The sequence below is a fragment of the Homo sapiens genome, chromosome 6 (genome assembly GCF_000001405.40).
Source record: "Homo sapiens chromosome 6, GRCh38.p14 Primary Assembly".
Lineage (NCBI taxonomy): Eukaryota > Metazoa > Chordata > Mammalia > Primates > Hominidae > Homo > Homo sapiens.
This window is the reverse complement of record NC_000006.12, coordinates 55,230,580-55,254,780: the sequence shown is the minus strand read 5'-3', so window position 1 is coordinate 55,254,780 and position 24,201 is coordinate 55,230,580. Positions and strand designations below refer to the sequence as shown.

The window sequence follows — 24,201 nt, the reverse complement described above, 5'->3', positions numbered from 1 at the left end:
TATAGAAAAAAAAAAACACATATGTTTAGTCCAAACTGGAAAAGCCTCAATTATAAAGAATAATATGTCTTTCTTCTAAATTACCACATAGAAATTTGATTGAAATTATATTTAATTAACATTTTTAAATTATGGGTAGCTTATTTCATATTTTCAAATAATAAGGGCTATTTGTACATCAGTGCATTTTCAACATGTAGCACCCAAGGAAAGTTACGAGTCATATTAAAAGAGAATTTTGTATGCGAATCTCCTTATGACAGTTTGCTCACTGCTAGCCTAGTCAATGTGATTCCAAAAACTAGGTAAGTTCACCCAGTCAAAATTTGTATATAATTAACAATGCCACAAATCATTCTTTAACTTGACACTTTAAGGAAATAACAACAACAAAAAATTTTAAAAATTCATATATCCACATTATTAGTTAATGTAATTATGTTCAATGTGCTCTCTTATACTGGATGAAATATTGATTCTGATATCACTCTCAGAATCCCCTCTCCCTTTAAAAAGACTTCTGATTTCTTTTACATTTTTTTTTACAGATTGTTATTTATTTTTCTTTCAGCATGTATAATGTAGTAAATTATTTGCTTAATTTGCTTATTTATCATCTGTTTTCTCTATTGGAACAAAGCTCTGTGGTAGGAGGGACTGCTTCTGTTTTTTTCACAACTGTGTCCCCAATATCTGATACAACATTTGATATCCATTATGCATTTAAGAAATATTTTGTTTTTAACTTCTATTTTAATTTCAGGGGTACATGAGCAGGTTTGTTACATAGATAAATGTCTGTCATGGGTGTTTGCTGTACAGATTATTTCATCACCCAGGTATTAATCCAAGTATCCACTGGTTATTTTTCCTGATCCTCTCCCTTCTCCCACCCTCTACCCTCTGAAAGGCCCCAGTGCGTGTTGTTCCCCTTTATGTGTCCATGTGTTCTCATCATTTAGCTCCCATTTATAAATGAGAACATGTAGTATTTGCTTTTCTGTTCCTGCATTTGTTTGCTAAGGATAATGGCCTCCAGCACCTTTCATGTTGCTGCAAAGGACATGATCTCATTCTTTTTTATGGTTGCATAGTATTCCATGGTGTATATGTACCACATTATCTTTATCCAGTCTATCATTGATGGGCATTTAGGTTGATTCCACGTTTTTGTTATTGTGAATAGTGCTGCAGTGAACGTATACTTGCATGTGTCTTTAAAACAAATATTTGTTAATCCATTAATAGTGGTGAGCCTTAATTGAAGGCAGTAGATATAGTCCAGTCATCTTCTTCTATTTTTCTGTCCTGGTTATATTGATCTCATAATATGTGGAAAGGGTAGTTATCTCTGTCTTTTACATGAGGACCTTTCTTGTTGATATGTTGATTATAGGTACAAATGAGTGAAAGAGATCTAAGATCCAGTGCAACAGTGCAGAAAGTCTCTGGGCTGTCAGGATGAACTATCTGTTCTCTCTCTCTGATCAGCTAGCTGCACACTATTGAGTCACTCACTTTACAGCTTTAGGCCTAATGTGTGTGTTGTGTGTTGTGTGTTGCGTGTGTGTGTGTGTGTGTGTGTGCTAAATGAAGTAAATCAACAGGATAAGATTCTTATCAAGTATGATTCTTTTGTTTCTCTATGGGAGAGGCAGAAGAGTATAGCTGGAATCGAGTCTGCAACCAGGTTTTCTGGGCATGAATCCCATCTGACATATGGAGTGATCTTAAGGAGATTATTTAACCTCTCCATTCCTCAGTTTTCTCATCTGTAAAATGTGGATGATTAATAGTACCTAACCATGGAATTGTATGGACAGTTAGTTGAGATGAAAATGTCTATTCCAGGGCTGGCATATAAGTGCTGTGTGTTTACTATTTCTTATGATTATAATAATAATAATGATGATGATACTATTAGTTTTATCTTTCATTCTTGAGTCTGAAGTTCTATATTTTAATTGGAACAGATTGCTTTTCAGAGAAGAATATTCATAGAAATTACAAGTGAAAGCCTAACCTTTGCTAAATTATTGGAGGCTAATTTCATTTTAAGTGTAATTTTAAGGGGCTGGACTCTATGAGAATGGGCTTAAGTTGATTAGTGACTCCTAGAAATTTCTTAGTGCTACCTGAGGGTACCTTCAACTCTCTTTCTCAAACCAGTATCACCTTATTCTCTACAACCTCCATTCCTTCTCTGCAAATAAGTTAAGCACCTAGGGCCCCTCAATACCATTGCTAACCTGGGAATAGAACTATGGTTGTATAGATTCGCACAGTCGCCTTTTCATAGCTTCTGGGCTAGAGATATATCAATCCTCTCTAGCAATTAGAAGTACAAAGTGTTCATCAAGCCTTAGTAATTTATAATCCATTAATTTAATCAACATGGATAAATGGGATAGATGTAGCATGGTTCAAATATCAATGTCATTTCTAGTGTTTCCTAATGCCATTAGGTCATAATAATCAATTCATATCAGTTCACTTGGAAGACTGACATCCAGTGCCAATAGTGACCCAGGGAGCACTGCCCTTCATCACACAGAAAAGGGAGGAATATGCTAGTGTGATGTATCTAACAGTAGAATGAACCAATCCATTGAATGAACCCTTGACAATCAGTGAGCTAATATTCATTGTTTGACCTACTATATTTGCTTGTGCAATTAACACATTAATATACAATTATGTGCAATGTATAAGATTTTCTTGGAGGTGATGTAAAATTGCATTTTATCATAAGTAATTATAAGTGAAAGTTTTGTTGTTGCTTTTAACTTCTAAGAGTGCACTTCTGGGTGTCTTTTTCATTTGGATTCTGATATTAGCTCAAGTTTGTTGAATAGTAAGTCATTTGAGAAATGAATCTAGTGTGGATTATGAATGTTGAGAATGAAGTGGAGTGAGATAATGGGAACTTTCTTCTGCCTTCAGGTACTTGGTCTTTGACCTATACTATGGGCACCCTTCGCACAGGATAATGTTTGGGGATTTCCTTTAGTAGAGAAGTCCACTGTTTTATACTAGCAAATAGATACGGCAAAGGTATCTTAAAGATTCACTATAAGGAGAAATGAAAATTTTGCCAAATCACAGATTTGGATGATAAGCACTAATAGGTAGAAAGGTTTCAAAGTATGACTGAAAGAGAGGGAGCTTGTTTGACCACCCACTGCCCACCTCCCACATCTCACTTGGCTTCTTTTTTTTCTGGCATTTTCTGTGTAGGGCGTCTTCTGCAGTTAAAAAAAATCACTCTGAAAAAGTAACCAATGCTCTTGTCATTGTTGGAAGAGAAGTGAAATACATGATAATTGTTCAGCAAATAGCTGAATACATGTTAATGGTCTTGGAGTTATGCAATTATTAAAGATACAAAAGAGTCATTTTAATTATTCAGCTAAGCTTTATAACATTTGTGAGACTTTTGAGATTTTTGTGCATTTGCCAATGCGTTACAGCATATCACTCATAAATCTAAAGGCTGTATTGTATTTAGAAGAAAAAGAACATATAAATTATAGCAAATTAATAAACGTCCAAGTAATCTAAAATGCAACCAAATAACTTTAAAATGTGGCTGGGCATGATGTAACATGTTTTTAAATATTCAGTAAGACATAAATATCATATCAGGGATATAAGTCATTAGTTACAGAATGTCACAACTAGGGAGAAAATCTGCTCAAATTTAAATTATATGTTTATTGCCCATTGGCACTGTTCATTGCATTTGGGAACATTCTATGAAAAATGAGGCAATAAATATGAAGAATTTGGAGATACTAGTTTTACCTGTGCACCAATCTCTTGGTGCATTTACACCTTTCCATCAAGAAGTAATGTTAGATGGGGTAACAAATGGATCTAGTCTTTTGCATCATGTGGTTACCCAGTAGTTTTTTCCCTTGCTCTATGGAGAAGAGGAGCAGCTAAGGAATTGATTAGATTGGACACTGTGTGCAGAGAGGCAGACAGAATCCTTCCAGAGATGAGGATATTCCTTGAACTGTAGGACTTGTTAAATAGTTCTGCTGTGTGAAAGAGGACTGTAAGTGATTATAAGAGATACCCATGCTCTGCATCACTCACTGGTTACACTGCTTCCATTCTGTCCTCTAATGCAAATACTCACAGGAAACTCTGAGATGCCTGCTCTGCAGAAAGCTATCGCTGTGCATTAGCACATGACTGCACCTGCCCTTATCACTTCACTTCCCACCAGGGAATCTTCTGTTTCACAGAGAGAACATGAAATGTTACCAGTCAGTTGAAGATTCTGGGCAACTGCAGCCATCCCAAAACTTAAGAGAATCCTCAAAATATTCTCCTGGGTAGTTATTGAAACCAAGAGAGGTAAAAGGCTTTCTGGAAGTACCACAGAGATAATGAAATATTAGAATTATCTGAAATGTATTACTTTCCTAGTGCCTCTATGCAAACACCACCAGAGCCATTCATTTCTTACTAACTTTTCCTCTATGAGAATATTTTTCTCTATTGTCCCATGTAGTTTTTCCTCACACACAAAAAAATGTGCTACTGTTCGTTTTGTAATCCATTCATGATTTTCAGCAGGCTGATCCAAACTAGCTTTATAATTAAACATAATATATGCATGGAGCTTATAACTTCTATAGTATTTTCCACTTACTATTCTATAAACAATGTTTAACCTTAAAAATTTTTCACTTCTTTTTATAAGAGGTAATTGAGGAACTATTGAACTAAATATCTCTTTGCAACATTTCATTCCAAAAGCCTAATCGGCATAATGTCTAGTAATAGGCTATTTGTGACCCCTCCCTAATTTTTTGTTACTGGGAGCTTATTTTCTGTTTTCTTAAAATATTATAGGCACCATCTGGGAGACTGCATGGCGTAAAAACTGAGGGTGCAGGAAAGCTATGGGAAGACAAGCAGAGAGTGGTCACCATTTCATTTGCTGTCCAATTCCTAAGGGAAATCCATCTTTTAGGATGGATGAGTGAATGTGAACATTATCTGATGAATCTTTTGTTTCAAAAATTTTAGAGCTATAATAACAATCAGAACACTAATCTCTGAAAGTATTCATTCTTAATTACTGAAATGGCAATTAAATAGAAAAAGAAGCTGTTTTCACTCTTAAGGAAAGAAAAACACCTAGTAATGATGATTCTGATGCTGATAATTGATGTTTATTGAGAATATACTGTTTTTATAAGATCATCTCTTCCAGAGGGTAATCACTGTGCCAACTTATTTATATGAATTATGTAAGTAAATGGTCACAGCAACCATATGAGGTAGATCTCATTTAAATTATTCTTTTAAATAAGTGAATTACAACTATTTGGCTTGATAGCATACAATTGGTGAATGGCAGAACGGAGATTCCAAATCCGGTAGTTTGAATTAGAATCTACACTAAAACCTGTTCATGGCACTGATTTGACCAAGTAGGTCTTAATTCTTCAGTATAAAATAAAATCACTTGTAAAAACAAATATGCTCAATGACTTGGACTGGCAGATCATTAATTGGTTCAAGAGAAAGATCAATAATTGGTTTGGGGAGATCATTAATTGGTTAAATCATTAATTGGTTCAAGTTTCTTATTTAACAATGGGGAAATTAGGAATCAAAAAAGTTTGCGCAAAATCAAACTTTTGGGATCAAATTTGGAATAAAAAAAGTTTGTGCAAAATCAAACTTTTGGAATCAAATTAGTAATCAAAAAAGTTGTGCAAAAATGTTTGTGCAGCATCTAATGATGATTTGGCAGTTCATTGCTTAATTTTTACCCAGAACTTAACTTATTTCTCCAGAAATTCTCAAGTATTATTTTCCTTCAGTTTGTCAATGCCTTAGGCAAATATATTTCTCAACTCACTAGTTAATTTACCATAAGGGCCATCGCTATGGCTGAACATTCTTTTTAGTAGCTTCAAAAAAGCATTAAAAACAATTACCTGTAGATAAGGAATCACTTTGCAAAGGGACTGTCCAAAAAACCAGGTCTCAGTGATATCCACGACCAGTGTGGCTGGAAGGCAGGTGATGGTCACGAGCACATCAGCCAGAGAAAGATTGACTATGAAGTAGTTGGTTACCGTCCTCATGTGGTGGTTCTTCCACACTGCCACACAAACTAATTTGAAAAGAAAAAGGAATAGGCACTCAACAAAGAAAATAGGTATTGGTGAGGAAACACTGTCAGTATTTCTATAAAGTCCACAAATATGTATTTAAAAAGAAAAATAATTGAAGGCTGTGCCGTGTTTTCACTGAATCTGTCAATCTGTGTGAATGCTAAGTACATGCTTAAAATCAGTTCATTTACCTTGCATGACATTTCTCAATAAATCATAAGGCTGTATTTATTTTTACTTGATTTTGAATTGCAAATGCCAGATGTTTTAAAATGGTCTTTGATTCATCTTTCTATTCCCTCAGTACTCAATATGTAGTAGAGTCTCAAGAAACGGTTGCTGAGTTAAGATAAATTAAGAACTAACAATTTTTATTGAATTGTAGTGTTTGCCTCATCCATGACCTTGACCCATATCTTCTCCTGAACCCTGCATTTGGAACTTTTAACAAATAATTTTTTAAGGTAAGAGCTAACAATTATTCAGCTCCTACCATTGCCAAATACCGAGCTAGATGGTTCATATACTTATGTTGTTTAATGCTGACAACAATCTTAAGGGACAATGATATCACCCACATTTTATAAAAGAGGAAGCTGAGACAAAGGAAATTAACTCACAAAACTTGTCTGAGGACATATGGGCTCACAAAATATAAAACTACAGCTATAACTTGGCTTTAGCTCCAATGCTTGTGGTCTTTTCACCACATGGGTTGCCTTCTTTGGTGAAAATGAGAGTACTGTAATAAAGTACATATAAGTTCCAGACTCTCAATTTTGTCTCCTTTCTATTACCTTAGGGCCTCTAAACATCACCCAGCAATCAAACATATTTTTCAATACTTTCATAGCCAGCCTCCCTCATTGCCTTGTAGTATATCCCCAGTTCAAAAGATGTACTGTCTCATTCAGTTGCTCTTTACTGAAAGAACACCCAGTTCCTCCATTCTCTGTCTTCCTTCGGTCTGACGTATATAAAAGTTACATAATCACTAGCTCTGGAATTATATAGGTGTACACGCTGCCATCACATCTATTCATGGGTTTGCTTCACTGAAAGTTACTGAATTTGTCTGGGGCATCACAAACCTGTCAGAGCTGTCACCCATGCACCCAAATAATGCAGGGATTAGTATCTTTACATAGCGAATAAATAAAACCTAATTTTGTTAAATTTGAATCACTGAATGAGGATTTCTTTGGACAATTATGTAACATTTATTAATAGTTTCATAAGCTGGAAAATGTTCTTACTAGTTCCTGAAGCTGAAATTGGCTGTCAGCTACCAACAGATGTCAATTTAACAAGATACCTGGATTTCAGAGGATTTAATTTTGAAAACTTCACATTGTCCTCTAACTCTCACGTGGTAATATCCAAAACTCAGGTGAACCTTAATCAGGGTAACTGTAGTCTTTATTATTTGAAAATTATGCCATTGAGTGATTTATTTTCTATAAACACTTGAAACACACACACACACATATTCACACACACACAAACCCACCCTAGCAGTTGACATACACATTATCACAGTTTGTTATGAGAAAATTGGCAAAAATATTATATTTCTGGTACTTGGTCAATAAATTGTCCAAATAGTACAATATTGGATCTAGGAAAATGCGCAGGACTCTTAGAAAACATGCAATTATTTCTAATCTTTTAACTCTGTATTTTGGACACGAGCAATGGCACTGGTGGGAAGACTTAATGCATTATATCTAGACAATCTAGACAATAGTAGAGCAAATATATGTTCAAAAGCACTTCTTTCTTTAGTCATTACTATGTGCTGTGCCTTGTTCTAAGCATTTTTTAAATTATTAACTAGTTTCATCATAATAACACTAGGAAGTGAATAGCATTAATATCTCTGTTTAACAGGTGGGAAAATAAGGAGAGAGAAGTTAAGGGGCCTACCTAAGAAAAATTAAGTACTAGAGTAAGTAAAAGTAAAACTAAGTACTAGGTCTTCAATTTAAGTGTTATCCACCAAGCTATATCATCCATATATCCTCTTGATTGAAGCAGAAAATGAAAAGGAAGCTACCAACCTCTATTTGACAGGGCTTTAAGATAGGATCATATAATTTTTTCACTTGGAGATTATTCAGTCTAACCTTCCATCTGATGCATGAATAATCACCTCTGCACCATCTCTGATTCATCCTGCTTGAACATTTATAATACCAGGTAATTTAAAACCTGCTGGAGCCCTTGAGTTCATTTTGCAGTGGCTTTAATTACTAGCAAGTTCTTGTTCATGTTCTGTTTTCCCTTCGTTTCTGCTTACAAGATCCTAATTATTTCTTGGAACTGAATGAATAAGCTTTACCTATATATGTACATTGTATTTGTTTTCTAAGGCTGCTGTAAAAAAGTACCATAAGCCTGGTGTCTTAAAACAATACAAACTTATTGTCTCACAGTTCTGGAGCTAGAACTCTCAAATCAAGGTGTCAGCAGGGCTGTCCTGTCTCTGAAAGCTGTAGTAAAGTTCTTCTTAGTCTCTTCCTATTTTCTTGTGGTTTTCAGGCAATCTTTGGTGCTCTTTAGCTTGTGCAGTATAACTCCAATTTCTGCCTTTGTCAGTGCATGACATTCTACTGTGTTTCTATCTTCACATGGCCATCATCTCATAAGGATCCCAGTCATATTGGATTAAAGGCCCACCCTACTGCAATATGACTTTACCATATCAAATTACATCTGCAATGACCCCATTTCCAAATAAGGTCACATTCTGAGTAATGATCATTAGGACTTAATCATATATTTTTGGAGAAACACAATTCAAATCAAAAAGGCATTCATTCAAGTATTTAACAACAACAGCTATGCCCACTTCCCTAGCCTATGCTTCTCCAGCCTAAAGATAATCAGAATCCATCATGTGAAACTTATGGGCTTTTCATTCCCCATCACCCTGGTTATTTTATTCTGAACACACTTCAGATTATCAGTAATAGCTCTAAGTGAGCTATCCATACCTGCAATCATTTCTCCAGGTGCAATCTACTCAGAGCAACAATGAGAAGGATGATTGATTTGGTTACTGTCAGTCTATTAAGACAGTTTGAGATCTTGTAAGCTTTTTTAAAAGCCAAGGCACACTTTTGGGGAAGATATATATATATATATATATATATATATATATATATAAAATCTTCCTATGTATTCTATGTGTATACTGGTATATATACATGTATGTATTCCTATGTGTGTGTGTGTGTATATATATATACATATATATATATATACACACACACATCGGTTCCCTTGTGTAGATGCTAGGATATTTACCTTTCAATCCTAAGAAGAAATAAAAAGAAAAAAAGATATTTATAAAGAAAGCTATTGGGACAACTGGATACATTTGAATTTTGAGTTTGTGTTAGATAATATTACTGTGCCGTTTAAACATATCTTAAGTGTGGTTTTCACATTATGTCCATTCAAATATTTAAAGACTGTGGCTATGCCCAAATAGTCAAATGAATCTTAAGCAAAATGAACAAAGCTGTGGGTATCGTATTAACTGACTTCAAATTATGCTATAAGCCTATAGTAACCCAAACAGCATGATACTATTAATAGTATAAAAATAGACATATAGATCAATAGAACATAATAGAAAACCCAGAAATAAAACCACATACCTACAGGCAATTTATCTTCAACAAACTCAACAAAAAGAGACACTGGGGAAGGACGCCTTACTCAATAAATGGTGCTGGGAAAATTGGATTAGCCATATGCGGAAGAACAAAACTAAACCCATATCTCTCACCATATACAAATAGCAACTGAAGATGGATTAAAGACTTAAATGTAAGACCCGAAACTCTAGAAACCCTGGAAGAAAACCTAGTATCTGTCTTTAAATGGACTATTCAGAACTACATATATATCTACAACTGCACATTCTCTAAATTTGTGTTACACAAACATTTATTTGTTTATTCAGTAACCCACTCACCCGTGCAAGGTTGTAAAAGTACAAAGTAAACATCACCTTCTCCTGAGAGCACACTAAATTTATACAACTTAAACTTATCACTGGACTTTGTGCTTCTCTGAAGTATAAGCTTCCATTTTCTCCCATTAATTATGCTTGAAATCTCCAAAATATCTCTTTCCTCTATTATATTCTTTCTATTCCTATTGCAAATACCCAATGTCAGATTGTTGTAACCATTAGCTAGAGTATTGCAGTGACCTCCTAATAGTTTCCCCATGCGTTGTGCCTGTCTGTACTCCTATATGTTTTATCCATTAATGTCATTAATGGATAAGTGTCATAAAATAATAAATGTCATAAAATGGATAAAATCCATTAATTCCTTTAATGGATAAAATATATAGGAGTACAGACAAGCACAATGTCTTGTTGTATTAACTCTTCCATTTCAATGAGAGCTCTCTTTTCTCCTGGACAGTACAAAATTCTCAGATGGCCAATAGTAACTGGGTTTCTGTTGAATTTTTGCCCTTTATCCCTTATAATGTTTCCCGTAAAATACACAGAGCATCAGAGTGAATCTGATATTTCACTGTGTGTCAAACATATTCCGTGCCCAGACCATCACTCATGCCATTCCTCTGTCTGGAAATGGTTGATACTCCATTTCAATAGCTTTTTAACCAATTAAATAGTATCCAAAACTGTCCAAAATCAACTGGTCAACCAACAAAATAAAAAACTTTCTGCTTCACAAAATATCTTTTAATTAGCCTAAATTAACATGACTTCTTTCTTCTTTGATACCCAATCACATGTTGTACCCTTCATGGCCATAAATTGCATTCTAAAATTATTGTGGATCATTATGGATTTCTTTTGTATTTTTTCTTATCTCTCTACGGGCACAAAGGCTCTTTATCATTATAAGCTGCTTTTTCTCTTTCCCTTACTTTGCTAAGTTTCTGCTGCTTTTCTCCCAACAAAAATACTGCCTATAATACATTCTGCAGTAACTATGGATGGAATTGATTTGCTCATAAACTTATAGTATGTTGCTGCCATTGGTATGGTATATTTTCCGATGAGCAAATTCTTTAAAAGGAGAAAAAAGGCACAAAGTCTAAACAGAGAATTTACTTTCTTCATTTCTTTTGAGTGAAATCTGAGAGCTCACAGAGAACTTAGCTGTTTGTCAATATTCTCTTAGACATAAAGTAGGCTATGGTTCTCAATTCGCCATGTACTGTGTCCTCTGATGAACTTTGGTAAATCCCAGGACCTGAACTTGATACCACATTTTAAATCAGTTCTGTGAATAACCATTAAACACCAATATTAAAGTCAATTTATGGTTAGTCTGTATTTAAAAGCCTGCCTTCATTAACCAGGAGTGAGGAATAATTGAGCAAATGAGGGCAAAAGAGGATAGCAGAAGGCAAGAATGCAGATTCAGTGAATTCTTGAATTCCACCTCTAACATGGACTTTATTGAAATAGTATTTTTGAAATGCAGAGGTGCCAAGAAGATATCAATTATTTTTTTCCTTTATCTTTCAGACTGTCATTTGTCTTACCGGTTCTTTCTCTGAAAGAATCTGATGATATATAGCTCCTGCACATTCTCCGTAAGACATGGAAAGTGGCTCAAGCTGCATGAAAACATCTGCAGCCATGATCCAAAGAAGGATATCTTTATAAAATATGTTAAATAATATTCAGATATAGTTTTTATGATTTAAGTTATTTTCCTGTTATTTTGTGGGCTAAAGACTAAACTGATTTTCAAATGGGAAAATAATACAATATTTTTAAAATGGCCTTTGCCATTATTTCACTTATAATAAACTAGCTTTTGTTTTAGTATCTTACAGATTGTATATGAGCAAAATTACATTCCAAAACCAATACTTGCACTTAGACAAATGTAAACTAAGGTGATATGCTGGTGCTAAGACTAGATTAAAAACATGTAAACTGCATATGTAAGATTGTGTCTCTTATTAAACATATACTTGGGCCTTGAAATGCCAACTAATAATTGACTATAAAATTTATGATATTGTGATGTGATTGGATATGGTACATAATTAGTGGACCACTGAGTGTCTCAAAAGGATCTGTACTAAATATATCAATTTTATTTTAAGAATTTGCTTATTTATTTAGTTTTGATTATATTAAAATAAGGTAAAAACAGAGAGGGACAATGATTACATGATTCCACTTATATGAGGTACTCAGAGCAATCATATCAGACAGATAGAAAGTAGATTTTTTTTTCCCCCAGGGGCTAGGAGAAGAGGGGAAGGAGACATTATTGTTCCATGAGTGAAGAGTTTCAGTTTTAAAAAATTTTAAATGTTCTGGAGGTGGATAGTGACGATGGTTGCACTATAAGGTGAATATACTTAATGTCATTGAACTATACACTTAAAACTGATTAAGTTGTTGAATTGTATATTATGTATATTTTACCACAATTTTAAAAATTAGTTGCCGACTGGGAGTGGTGGCTCATGCCTGTAATCCCAGCACTTTGGGAGGCCGAGGTGGGTGGATCCCCTGAGATCAGGAGTTCGAGACCAGACTGGCCAACATAGTGAAATCCTGTCTCTACTAAAAAATACAAAAATTAGCTGGGCTTGGTGGTGGGAGCCTGTAATCCCAGCTACTCAGGAGGCTGAGGCAGGAGAATCGCTTGAACCCGGGAGGTGGAGGCTGCAGTGAGCCGAGATTTCACCACTGCACTCCAGCCTGGGCGACAGAGTGAGGCTCCCTCTCACAAAAAAAAAAAAAAAAAAAAAAATTAGTTGCCATAGTAAGACAGACTACAAAATGTGAAACACACTTTGAACTAATAATGATGTCCCTCAAAAACCTTCAATACAGAATGAAAATGCCTAGGGATAATCTTAATGACTCATTTTATAAATATGGTATTTTTTAAAAGATTGAAAGAAAACACAATTTTTCCAAAAACCTTAGTTCCAATATATCAATGCAATGTTAATCACAGCAACTGTGATTTTTATATGCAATTCAAATTATTTTTGAAACAAAGTATTATTTGTAGTAAGTTGTGATATTTCAGTTTAGATATCATCTTAATAAAACACTTTGCGATTTCTTGGTTGTTTAATTTACATATAAGTACATAAATAAATAGCATAACAATTTATTGATTGTTATGTACATAAAAAATATATCAGGAAACAACTTGGAAAAATATACTGTAGTTCCACACTTTGCCACAAAGTGTCAGTGAAAGCATTTGAACCTGCTTCCATCGTCACTTCCGGAATGAGTTTTAAGCATTAAATTCATTGTAATACTTTTTATAATGTAGAACTGAGTATATTTATTTGAAGTTGGATTTTCTAGATAGAAAATAATGTTTAAAGAAGGATAAAATGTCAGTAAACTATCGCAAGAACAAAAAACCAAACACCGCATATTCTCACTCATAGGTGGGAATTGAACAATGAGAACACATGGACACAGGAAGGGGAACATCACACTCTGGGGACTGTTGTGGGGTGGGGGGAGGGGGAGGGATAGCATTGGGAGATATACATAATGCTAAATGACGAGTTAATGGGTGCAGCACACCAGCATGGCACATGTATACATATGTAACTAACCTGCACATTGTGCACATGTACTATAAAACTTAAAGTATAATAATAATAAAATAAAAAAAGAAAAGAAAACAAAAAAAAAGAAGGATAAAATGGCCAACACCATCTCAATTAAATATAAATAAGAGAACGTGAAATAAAACAACATTTCTAAATGAAAAAGAAAAAAACGCAACTGAATACATAGGGAAGAAAGCCTATATTTAACTCCTATTTTCAAAAAACCTACCTTGAAACAGGTCATGGAATGCAGTCATCCAAAATCATTACAGTATCCAGACTTAAGAACCTGGGAAGCTGACCAGGAGTATTATCTTAAAAAGGTAAAACAAACTCTCCACCAAATCCTGAGGCATTTTCCTTTTTCTTGTTTTCACTCCATCACACTGTTACGGCATTGGCCCTCCTTTCTATTGCTAGTTTTACTCCCTTGTCTTCCTGAGCCAATATGCCTGTCTCAATCTCCCATTCTCCACCTACACACCTTGGCAAAGTTGTCCCTAAATCTCCGTCTCAGAAGAACTACATGCAAACGTGCCACTTCCTTTTTTACAACGCTGACGGATGGAGGACTCTTAAGAAGTGCATCTGTGTTGTGAAATGTGCCACCCAAATGGTTATCTAATATGAATATGAATAAAACTCTTTTTTTTTTTTTTTTTTTTTTTTTTTGAGCTGGAGTCTCGCTCTTTCGTCCAGGCCGAACTGCAGTGGCACTATCTCGGCTCACTGCAAGCTCCGCCTCCCGGGTTCACGCCATTCTCCTGCCTCAGCCTCCTGAGTAGCTGGAACTACAGGCGCCCGCCACCGCGCCTGGCTAATTTTTTTGTATTTTTAGTAGAGACGGGGTTTCACGGTGTTAGCCAGGATGGTCTAGATCTTCTGACCTCGTGATCCCCCTGCCTCGGCCTCCCAAAGTGCTGGGATTAAATAAAACTTCAAAACTATTTACTGGCCGGGCGCGGTGGCTCACACCTGTAATCCCGGCACTTTGGGAGAACGAGGCGGGGGGATCACCCGCGGTCAGGTGTTCAAGACCGGCCTGGCCAACATGGCGAAACCCCATCTCTACAAAAATACAAAAATTAGCTGGGCATGGTGGTATGCGCCTGTAATCCCAGCTACTCCGGAGGCTAAGGCGGGAGAATCGCTTGAACCCGGGAGGCGGGGGTTGCAGTGAGCCGAGATCGTGCCACTGTGCTCCAGCCTGGGCGACAGAGTGAGACTCCGTCTCAAAAAAAAAAAAAAAAAAAAAAATTTACCGCCTATGCACAAACAGCAATGTATCTTAAATGTGTTTCGGGTTTTATTTCCTCAAGAAAAGAAAATATAAAAGTCTCTAATTGGACAAATATTTTCTCATTGCCACTTGCTCATTATGTTAATGTTGAGAAAAGCTCTCACTTTTGTCAACCAATGGTGCCTCTGTAGTGTTGATAACCGTTAGGTACAGTGGAGAATAATTAATATATCACAATTAATAATTTGTCTTGAAAGGGATTTAGAAAGAGTATCTTCACACACACAAATGTGCAGGGAGAAAATGCATAGAGGAATGCTATACCACTGAATCCTGTGATTATTATCTCTACAGAAATCAAATCCATAAACAAGTTCTTCAGACAGGAAAAATACAGTGAAGAAAGTGGGAAAATAGGCTTGACTTATCAGCTGTCTCTGAATGGCATGATTTCTCCCAAGGAGGGGCTCAACCACAAATTGGCACCAAGCCTTCTGGCACCAAGAGCTGCCAGAGAACAAAACAGCAGTGTTATTAATAGATCTTCACAGGCCTTTAAGGCTGGCCTGAGGAAAAGGTTAGGAAGACGGAAGGTTCCATAGTCTTAGTGTCTGCAGTTCTATTAATGACTATACCTGGTAGTTACAGTTTCACTCCAGGAAAATTTGTTTTGGAGGAAATGACAACCTTTTGGTCACCCACATCTTTTTACACTTTGTAGATAACTCATTACAAGTCCCCGTTCCCAGTGTGATGTCTTAGAAATGCATCTGGATTTTGACCCTGTTCTCAGAGTTCTACAGGGCCATAAAGTCAGTCCTTCTCTTTGACCCTTTTGCATTAATTAACATACACAAGCAACCAATCCGATCCTCCCCAAGACATTTGACTTCTGTTCATCTTACTACCTGCAATGAACTTATTTTGGGGGTCTTTTCTGTAGAAATGCTTTTCTCTTTCACCGCATATCTGTCTTTAATCCACTTGTCTTTTGTTCTTTCATTATCTTTCTTTAGTTGTTCTTATTGACTCTCACAACTTTATGTCTCATCTATAGAAGACCAACCCAATATTATAATTCAAAGTTATACCTCTAGTTCTTGGCTCTCTCTCCTACTTTGCATACCAGAATCTCTGACTACAACTGTTTTCATCTTATAGATGTTCTATCTTTCAATTAAACTCAAAGTATGAATCATAAAATGTGTGTGAGCGTGTGTGTGTGTTTCTGTGTGTGTGTATTCAGTTAAAACATTTGGATATTGTCCTACAGACTATGGAGAATTGGAAAATTACAAAATTACTGACAGATTTTAAGCAACAGAATGGCAATATCTTACTACTATTTTTCAAAGATTACTTAGGCGGAATATGTGGAAAATATATGTCTTTATGTTGCAAGCAGAGAGATTAATACTGACAGTTTTAAAATTCCAAGAAAGCAAGTTGGTAACCAAAAAATGGAAAAAGGTGAATGCCAAAAATAATAACGAGGTTGAAATATCAGGCCTTAGTGAGGGATTAGATATGAGGATGAGAGAGTAAGAAGAACTGAGGATGATTAGCAGGTATATTGCTTGACAGCTGGGGATGCTCACTGAGCTAGGGGATAAAGGATAATGAGGTAGCTTTGTAAGAGTAGATAGAAGATGAGAAATTCAACTTTGTATATGTAATTTTGAAGCACCTGTGAGTTATCCTAGTGTCAATACCCAGTTGGCATTTAGATTTATGGTTCTATACTCCAGGGGATATAATTTCTTTACATGTAAATATTTGGGATTCATCAGAATAGAAATTGTGATTAAAGCTTGTGGAGTGGATAAGATCAACCAGTGACAGAATTAGAGTAAGAAGGGAAGAACCTAAATCATCTCCAGAAAACTGTGCAGTTTCAACCACATACTCCTGGTTGAGAATATCCAGAAAGTGCCAATTGTTCTCTGAAGTACTAAATATTGTAGTACGAAAGTATACATTTGTTTTACTATTACAAAATAGTTTCTATTTCTGGTAACGGCAGATAAGCTTACTGCAGAACAAACTTCCCACCTAAAACAACCAGAAGTGTTACACATTTCTTTAAGACATTGGAAAGCTACTAAGGCAGAAGGGACATCAAAGGCCAATATCCTGGAGAAAATGCAAGAGGGAGATGCTCTGGCATTTAGCCTCTTTTCTTCTCAAAGTTTTTGGCAATTTGCAAACTCTAGCTAAGAACAGGAGAAGAGAAACAGAGAACAAAGCTGATAATATGAGATGCTGAGCCGGAAATTTAGTACCTAACCAAAAATAAGATGATAATTGGAGTTCAAGGCCTATCAAGTAGGTAAACAACCCTGGCTTTCAGCTGTAACTCCAAGTTATGAACTCTGATAGGGATAAATCTGAAGTAGACAAGCTCTCCTAAAGAATGAAGCCCAGCTTCCAAAGCCTCCAGTGACTGACGGGATAGTGGTTTTCTGTCCCAACACTAGCTGCTGGCCAAAGCAAAAGCAAATTCTCTGTGAAAGAAGATAATATTATCTAGAACATAAAATAATTTCTACAATTTTTCATAAAATATTTCAGAAATTTTAAAATGATTGAATTAATAATGTCAAGAAAGTAGATATATTATAAAGAATATAAAAAATAGAAAAATAGTCCAAGGAAATTATAGAACTTAAAAATATGTGAACTGGAAACACAACAAAGAGATTTAACAGAAAGAAAGATTAGATAAAACCATCTAATAGGATTATACAAACTAATAGAAAATATCCAAGCTAAAGAACAGAGAGGAAAAAAGGAAAATGCAGAAGAGTGTGCATAACACATGGTGAAAATTCTATTATACCTGTGATTGGATTCTCAATATGTGTGTATAGAAGTAGCATGAGACAAAAGCAATCTTTAAAAAGATATTGGCAAGGCAAATACATTATCTAAGAATTTTTCAAAACGAATTAAAGGTATATATTTGTAGATATAAGAAGTGCTATAAATTTCAACCAGGATAAATATAAGAGAAAATCACACCCACTTATATTATCATAAAACTGCTGAAAAACCAGTGACGAAAGGAAAAATCTTAAAGCAGGAAGAAAAAAATGCATCACCTCCAAGTTGTCATATTGGGATTGACAGCTAAATTCTCAAAAGTTAATATCTACAAATACTAATTCACATAAATAGTCTTTCCCTCAGTGATCAGGAGTAAGTGCACAAAGTCTTTTATGGTAATTTCTATTTAGCATTGTGCTGGAGCAAGGGTAATAAAGCAATAAAAATAAATAAAATAATGAAGTTTGGAAAGGATTAAATAAAACCTATCATTATCCACAGAGGGCATACTTATTAAGTGTGAAAGAATCTCCAGATAAACTACTAATCTTAATAAATACCTTAGTAACACTTGCTGAATATAAAACAATATGTAACATAAGAGCACATGAAATTGATATATAAAATATAATGTATATATGCAAAATCAATTATGTTTCTATTAAATAAAAACAACTAGAAAATGCAATTTAAATAGATGATACTATTGACAATAGAATAATAAATGTTCAACATCTAGGAAAAAAATAATGAGAAACACATGATTTCTGCACTGTAAAATATGAGGAATATGAAAAATAACCTAAATGGATAGGGGGATATACCCTACTCATGGAATCGAAGAATAAGTATTGTAAGGCTGTGAGTTTTCTCTAAAATTGATATATGGATTCAATGCATTCCAAATTAAAATGCTAGCTTTCCTTTGGTAAAGACTGGCAAGCTGATTTCAAAATTTATATAAAAATATAATGGGCCAAAATTAGTCAGTATTATATTATGGAAAAACAAATTTGAAGGATTTACATTAGCTATCAAATATTAATACAAAGTGTCAGTAAACAAAACAGTATAGTACTGGTACAAGGATATAAATGTAGATCAAGGGAATAGAATAAAAATTGAGATCCAAAACAAAAACAAAACAAACAAAAATAGTTGAGATCCACACCTACGTATATAAGGACTCTTGACATATGACAAAAGTGCCATGTACTGCATTATCAAAGAAGTATCTTTTCTACAAATGATACTGAATAAATTGATATCTACATAGAAAAAATAAAAATTTGATTTCTACATCACATCATATACAAACATAAATTCCAGGTTACTTATAGATCTAAATTTGACAGTTAAAAAAATAAAATTCCCATTGATAAGATGTTGGAGTAGATAAGCATTTCTTAAGCAGATTTCCTCAAATGTATTAAACATAAAGGACATGTTTGAAAAATTAAACAAACCTAAAATTAGGGTATATCAAAAGAGGACAAAAATATATGCCAAAGAGTGAGAGAAGTTATTTACAACACATTTATTTGAAGAAAACAATTTACATGATTATTTCTTGTGGTTAATGGGCTTTGTTGTTGCCACTGCTGTTGTAGCTTTTCAGATATTTTTATTGAATTATCACACATGTATAAAAATGTACAAACCATCATGTATCACTGGACAAATTACAGCAGAGTGTACATACCCTTGTAACTACTATTCAGACTGAGAAGTACAATATGACCGGCACCCCAGAAGCTCTCTTCCTATTTCCTCTCCAACAACATCCCCCCTGCCAACAAAAGGAAATCCGTATACTGATTTGTAACACCATAGATTAATTGTTATCTGTTTTTAACTTTATCTATGTGGAATCAACATTTATGTGTTATTTTGTGTCTAATTTCTTTCACTTATGATTATGTTTGTAAGATCCAGGTTGTATGTTTAGTAGTAGTTCCATCATTTTCATTCCAGTGTGTGATTATATTATCATTGAAATACTCTACAATTGATGGAAATTTTGGTTCATTCTAATTCAGGGCTATTGTAAACAGGGCTGTTACTAACATTCTTATGTACGTCTTCTGACACATATGTGCAAATTTCTGTTAGTTATATATCTAACAGTGAAATTGCTATCATAGAGTATGCATATGATCACCATTACTACATAACTGCCGTTAAGTTTTCTAAAGTGCTTGGTGCAGTACTAGTTTTTACACTTACCAGCTGGTATGAGTGTCCTAGCTGTCTGCATTTTTGCCAACATTTCGTACTTTTTGAGTTTTTTTCCCCACTTTTTGAGTTAGATATTCTGGTGTACCCATATTATACATTTGTTGCCAATTAGAAAATGGAGTTGAACATTACTCTCTAGGGCTTTCATTATCTTACAGAAGTTTTATCCACATTTATGGGTCAATTTGATGCCTTCTTTAGGATGTGATCTTTTTCAGAATTAATAAACTTGATTTAAATCTGGACTTATTTTAACACTAGGTAATCCTCAAATTAATCTAGCCATTTCTCCCCTCTCTTCTTATCGTATTTTAAAATCTTCTTTTAACTATCTAATATAGATAGCCTATTTTTTCTTAAATTGTATGTGTCATTTTACAAAACCAATCTTTTACCTTTTTTTCTATAAGTCAGGTGTTCCATTCTAAACATAGTAGATTCTCAATGGTTGCTGAGTGACTGACATTGATTGTGTAAAATTTATATGACCTAGGTTTTATTTTTTGATGTTAGAGAATTTATCATTAATATCTGATCCTGGAGAGAAGAAAATAACTCAATATAGGTAAAGCAGCATAGCACCTATTTCTACTTTGTCACCTTATATCATTTTGCTGTCATAAATTCCTGAAATAGTATCTGAGAGTGTCTTAGATGAAGGCTGAAAACAACAGAATGACCTTTTAGATAATAGGATGGATCACATTAAATGAATTTGCACCTAATCTAGAGACTGATGGCAAACCTTTCTGTGATGGTGTAGGTACACTACAAAGATAAAAAATCCAGGTCTCTGCTACAAACCACACTGATTTACATTTTATAGTAATGTATATTTAACTAACATACATGGATTTCCAAATTATTATAACATGTTTAACTTACTAAATAATATTAAATCATGTTTTACTTCCTATTTTTGAATATAGTTTCAATAATTGAGTAAATAAAGCAAAGACTATTTGCATATTCCCCAAATATTACTGATTTTAGGCTTGTCCAGACTTTATTTATTTATTTGTTATTCTTTAGAGACAGGGTCTTGCTCTTTTGCCCAGGCTAGAGTGCAGTGGCACGATCCTCCCTCATTGTAACCTCTTCTCTGTACTCAAGTAATCCTTCCACCTCAGCTTCCCAAGTAGCTACAACTATAGGTGTGCACCACCATGCCTGGCTAGTGTTATTTTATTTTTGTTTTTGTAAAGATGGGGTCTTGCCATTTTGTCCAGGCTGGTCTCAAACTCCTGGGCTCAATTTCCTTCTTGCCTCAGAATTTTTGACGTTCAAATGAAATTTGATAATAATGTACAATGATCCCTTTTAAAAACCAGCTTTGGCCATGCGTGGTGGCTCATGCCGGTAATCCCAGCACTTTGGGAAGCCGAGGTGGGTGGATCACCTGAGGTCAGGAGTTTGAGACCAGCCTGGCCAACATGGTAAAACCCCATGTTTACTAAAAAATACAGAAAATTAGCTGAGTCTGGTGGTGGGCGCCTGTAATCCCAGCTACTCGGGATGCCGAGGCAGGAGAATCACTAGAATCCGAGAGGCGGAGATTGCAGTGAGCTGAGATTGCACCATTGCACTCCAGCGTGAGCAACAGAGCAAGACACCATCAAAAAAAAAAAAAGCAGCTTTATTCATTTTTCAAAAATCCATTTTTTGTCTGTCACTTTTCCTTTAAAATGTACCTCACTTTTCTTGAATCATCAGACATTCATTCCTTCAAATTACTGTTAAGAATCTAGAATTGTGTAAAAATATTTTCTTCTGAAATAAAAAAGCCTAATCTTTAAAATCATTCTTTTTGAAGACAGATAATATAGAGGTAAAGTTTATGCACTTCGGAGTTAAAAATCTATCTCAGACTTCACCTTCAATATCTTGTTTAGTCAAGTTATTTAGCATCTCTGTGCTTTAGTTTTGACATGTATAAGATTGAGATACTTGTACCTATTTTATAGGACTGTTTTAATGGACATAAAAACAGTTGTCACAAAGCTTGGAACATAATGGATGATAGTTGTTCACTAAAAATTATAGATTTTTCAACCAAATAAAACTTAATAAAGTTCTTCACAAGTGATCTTTGTCATCCAACATCAAGATTTCTATCTCTGAATATTTAACAAATTTTTGCTGAAAAGTTAATCTGTATTTGATAGTTAAACTTGATCTGCAATCAGAGATTGATAAACATTTCCTAGTTTTAGGGCTCACACTGAGTAAGGTAAGATGATATCCTTTTAGACAACATGTCGGAGAAAGTTAGATTCATAATTTCGACTCTATTCAAGGAAAGAACAACAACAAAAAAGAATGTCCACTTGGCTCTATTGGACAACAAGAGCAATGGCATAAACAGCTGCAGCTGTTTCAAAATTTACATCCCATAGATTTAGTGAGAACTCTCAATAAATTAGGAATTGTGTGGTGCATTTTAATAAGTGAATATATAAAGATTGTATTAATTAATTGCCCGTTTGACTAATATTCACACCCCAGTGAATGAGTATGAAACTGAATTACATGTAAATTAATGTAAATAGTCTCACATTGACAAAGAGGGGATGCTCTTTGAGGCAACTATTAAGTATTGTTAAGTTTTTAATTACAGGTTGAAGCCAAATGTTTGTCAGAATAGAGTTCTGAAATTAAAAAAAGGAAATTATTTTGTATACAAAAATGTGTTTAGGAAAGTGGGTTAGGACACATCTGTTCTGTAGAAGATGATGGACAATGAACAAAAACGGAGAGACTGATCACAGCAGGAGGAGTGAGGTGGATGGAGATGAGGAGATTATGAGTTTTCTTTGGAACACGTTAAATTTGATGTATTTAAGGGACATCTATTATACAATGTATAAGGTAAGATTAAATTTAGAGCAACAACAAAATGTATGATTAAAAATAGAGAAACAGCTAGATTGATACAGCATTTATTAAATGGAAGGCACGTCAAACAAAATAGCTCATATTCGCTAGTCTTTAGTTTGTTATTTAACCACCTCACAAGTCTGCAAGCCTTGGCAATCTTTTCTCTTTAACAAGTAAGTCAATTTCTTTTTATTTCACTCAATTTTTTGGATGGAGTAGGTCTTTATAATAACTGAATCTGCTGTATTAAGATGATACATTTCTCTTCTAATTTGGAAAGGCACACAAAGCAGATTTTTACTTTATAAAATCTTGGCTTTCTTTCCTAAAAAAAAATGCAAGTACTTTCCATAGTTAAAATTAGAAATAAATAAGTGGAACACTTTCAGATATTCCGTTAAATAAAGTGGGTTATTCCTTTTGATTCTATTTGCCATTGAAACAAAGAGAATAATGCAGTGTATTTTATATGGATATTTCATTCTTACTTCTCTTAAAAGAGAGTATTAGTCTCCCTTCACATGTTTAATTTCATTACAGTAACTTAAACTTAATAAAAAGGGATATTGAAATTTTTTCTGGTCAAACATTAAAAAGTTCCTTTAATAGAATACCTGTATGTCTATTATTATAAATATAAGTGAGTGATAAACATAAGTGAGTGTTATGTATAAATTTCATTTTTTTACCTCATGACTGAAGTGTGTGTAGTTGACTTTTATAAGTAGAATATTGATTGGATAATGTGTTTTAGAAAAACTGTGTATCTTTCCTAGTGCTCGCCTAAACCATATTTCTGAATGACACTCAAGTCTAGAAATAGCAAGGGCCTATGGGTATCAGAGTTATGGGAAGTACCAACTAACTTGGCTAATTATGGAAAAGATTAGATGTGATACTTCTTACTGCCTCCTCGCAGCCCCCAACAAAGGATTCTATACAGAGGTGAAGTGAATGAACCTTGGTCTTATTGGCTAGAAATGAACCGTAAAAAAAAAAAAAAATCTTTGACCTGTTTCATTGGATAATAACATTCAGATGACTGAGCCACACCTGAGTTTTTGCCTCAATTTTTATTCATTAATTCATTCGTTCAGCATATATTTATGGAAGACGACGTTTCAAGTTTGCAAATATGCCTTACACATGTTTTAAAATGTGATTATCCATTTCGTACAAAATACAAAACTGTGTACTGTGGTTTAAGTCCCATAAATCTGTTTATCAGTATTAAATGGAAGAGGAAATTTATGTAGTAATTAATCTATG

General features: G+C 34.4%; 1 protein-coding gene across 3 annotated transcripts in view; it reads right to left on the bottom strand.

Annotated features, from left to right (window-relative positions):
- HCRTR2 (hypocretin receptor 2) overlaps positions 1-24,201 on the bottom strand; it is a 178,245-nt gene that overhangs the window by 29,933 nt on the left and 124,111 nt on the right. For all 3 annotated transcript variants that reach the window (XM_017010798.2, NM_001526.5, NM_001384272.1), the window contains one exon: positions 5,964-6,142. In XM_017010798.2, coding sequence (XP_016866287.1) covers positions 5,964-6,142 — 179 coding nt within the window. The remainder of the gene's footprint in view (positions 1-5,963; positions 6,143-24,201) is intronic.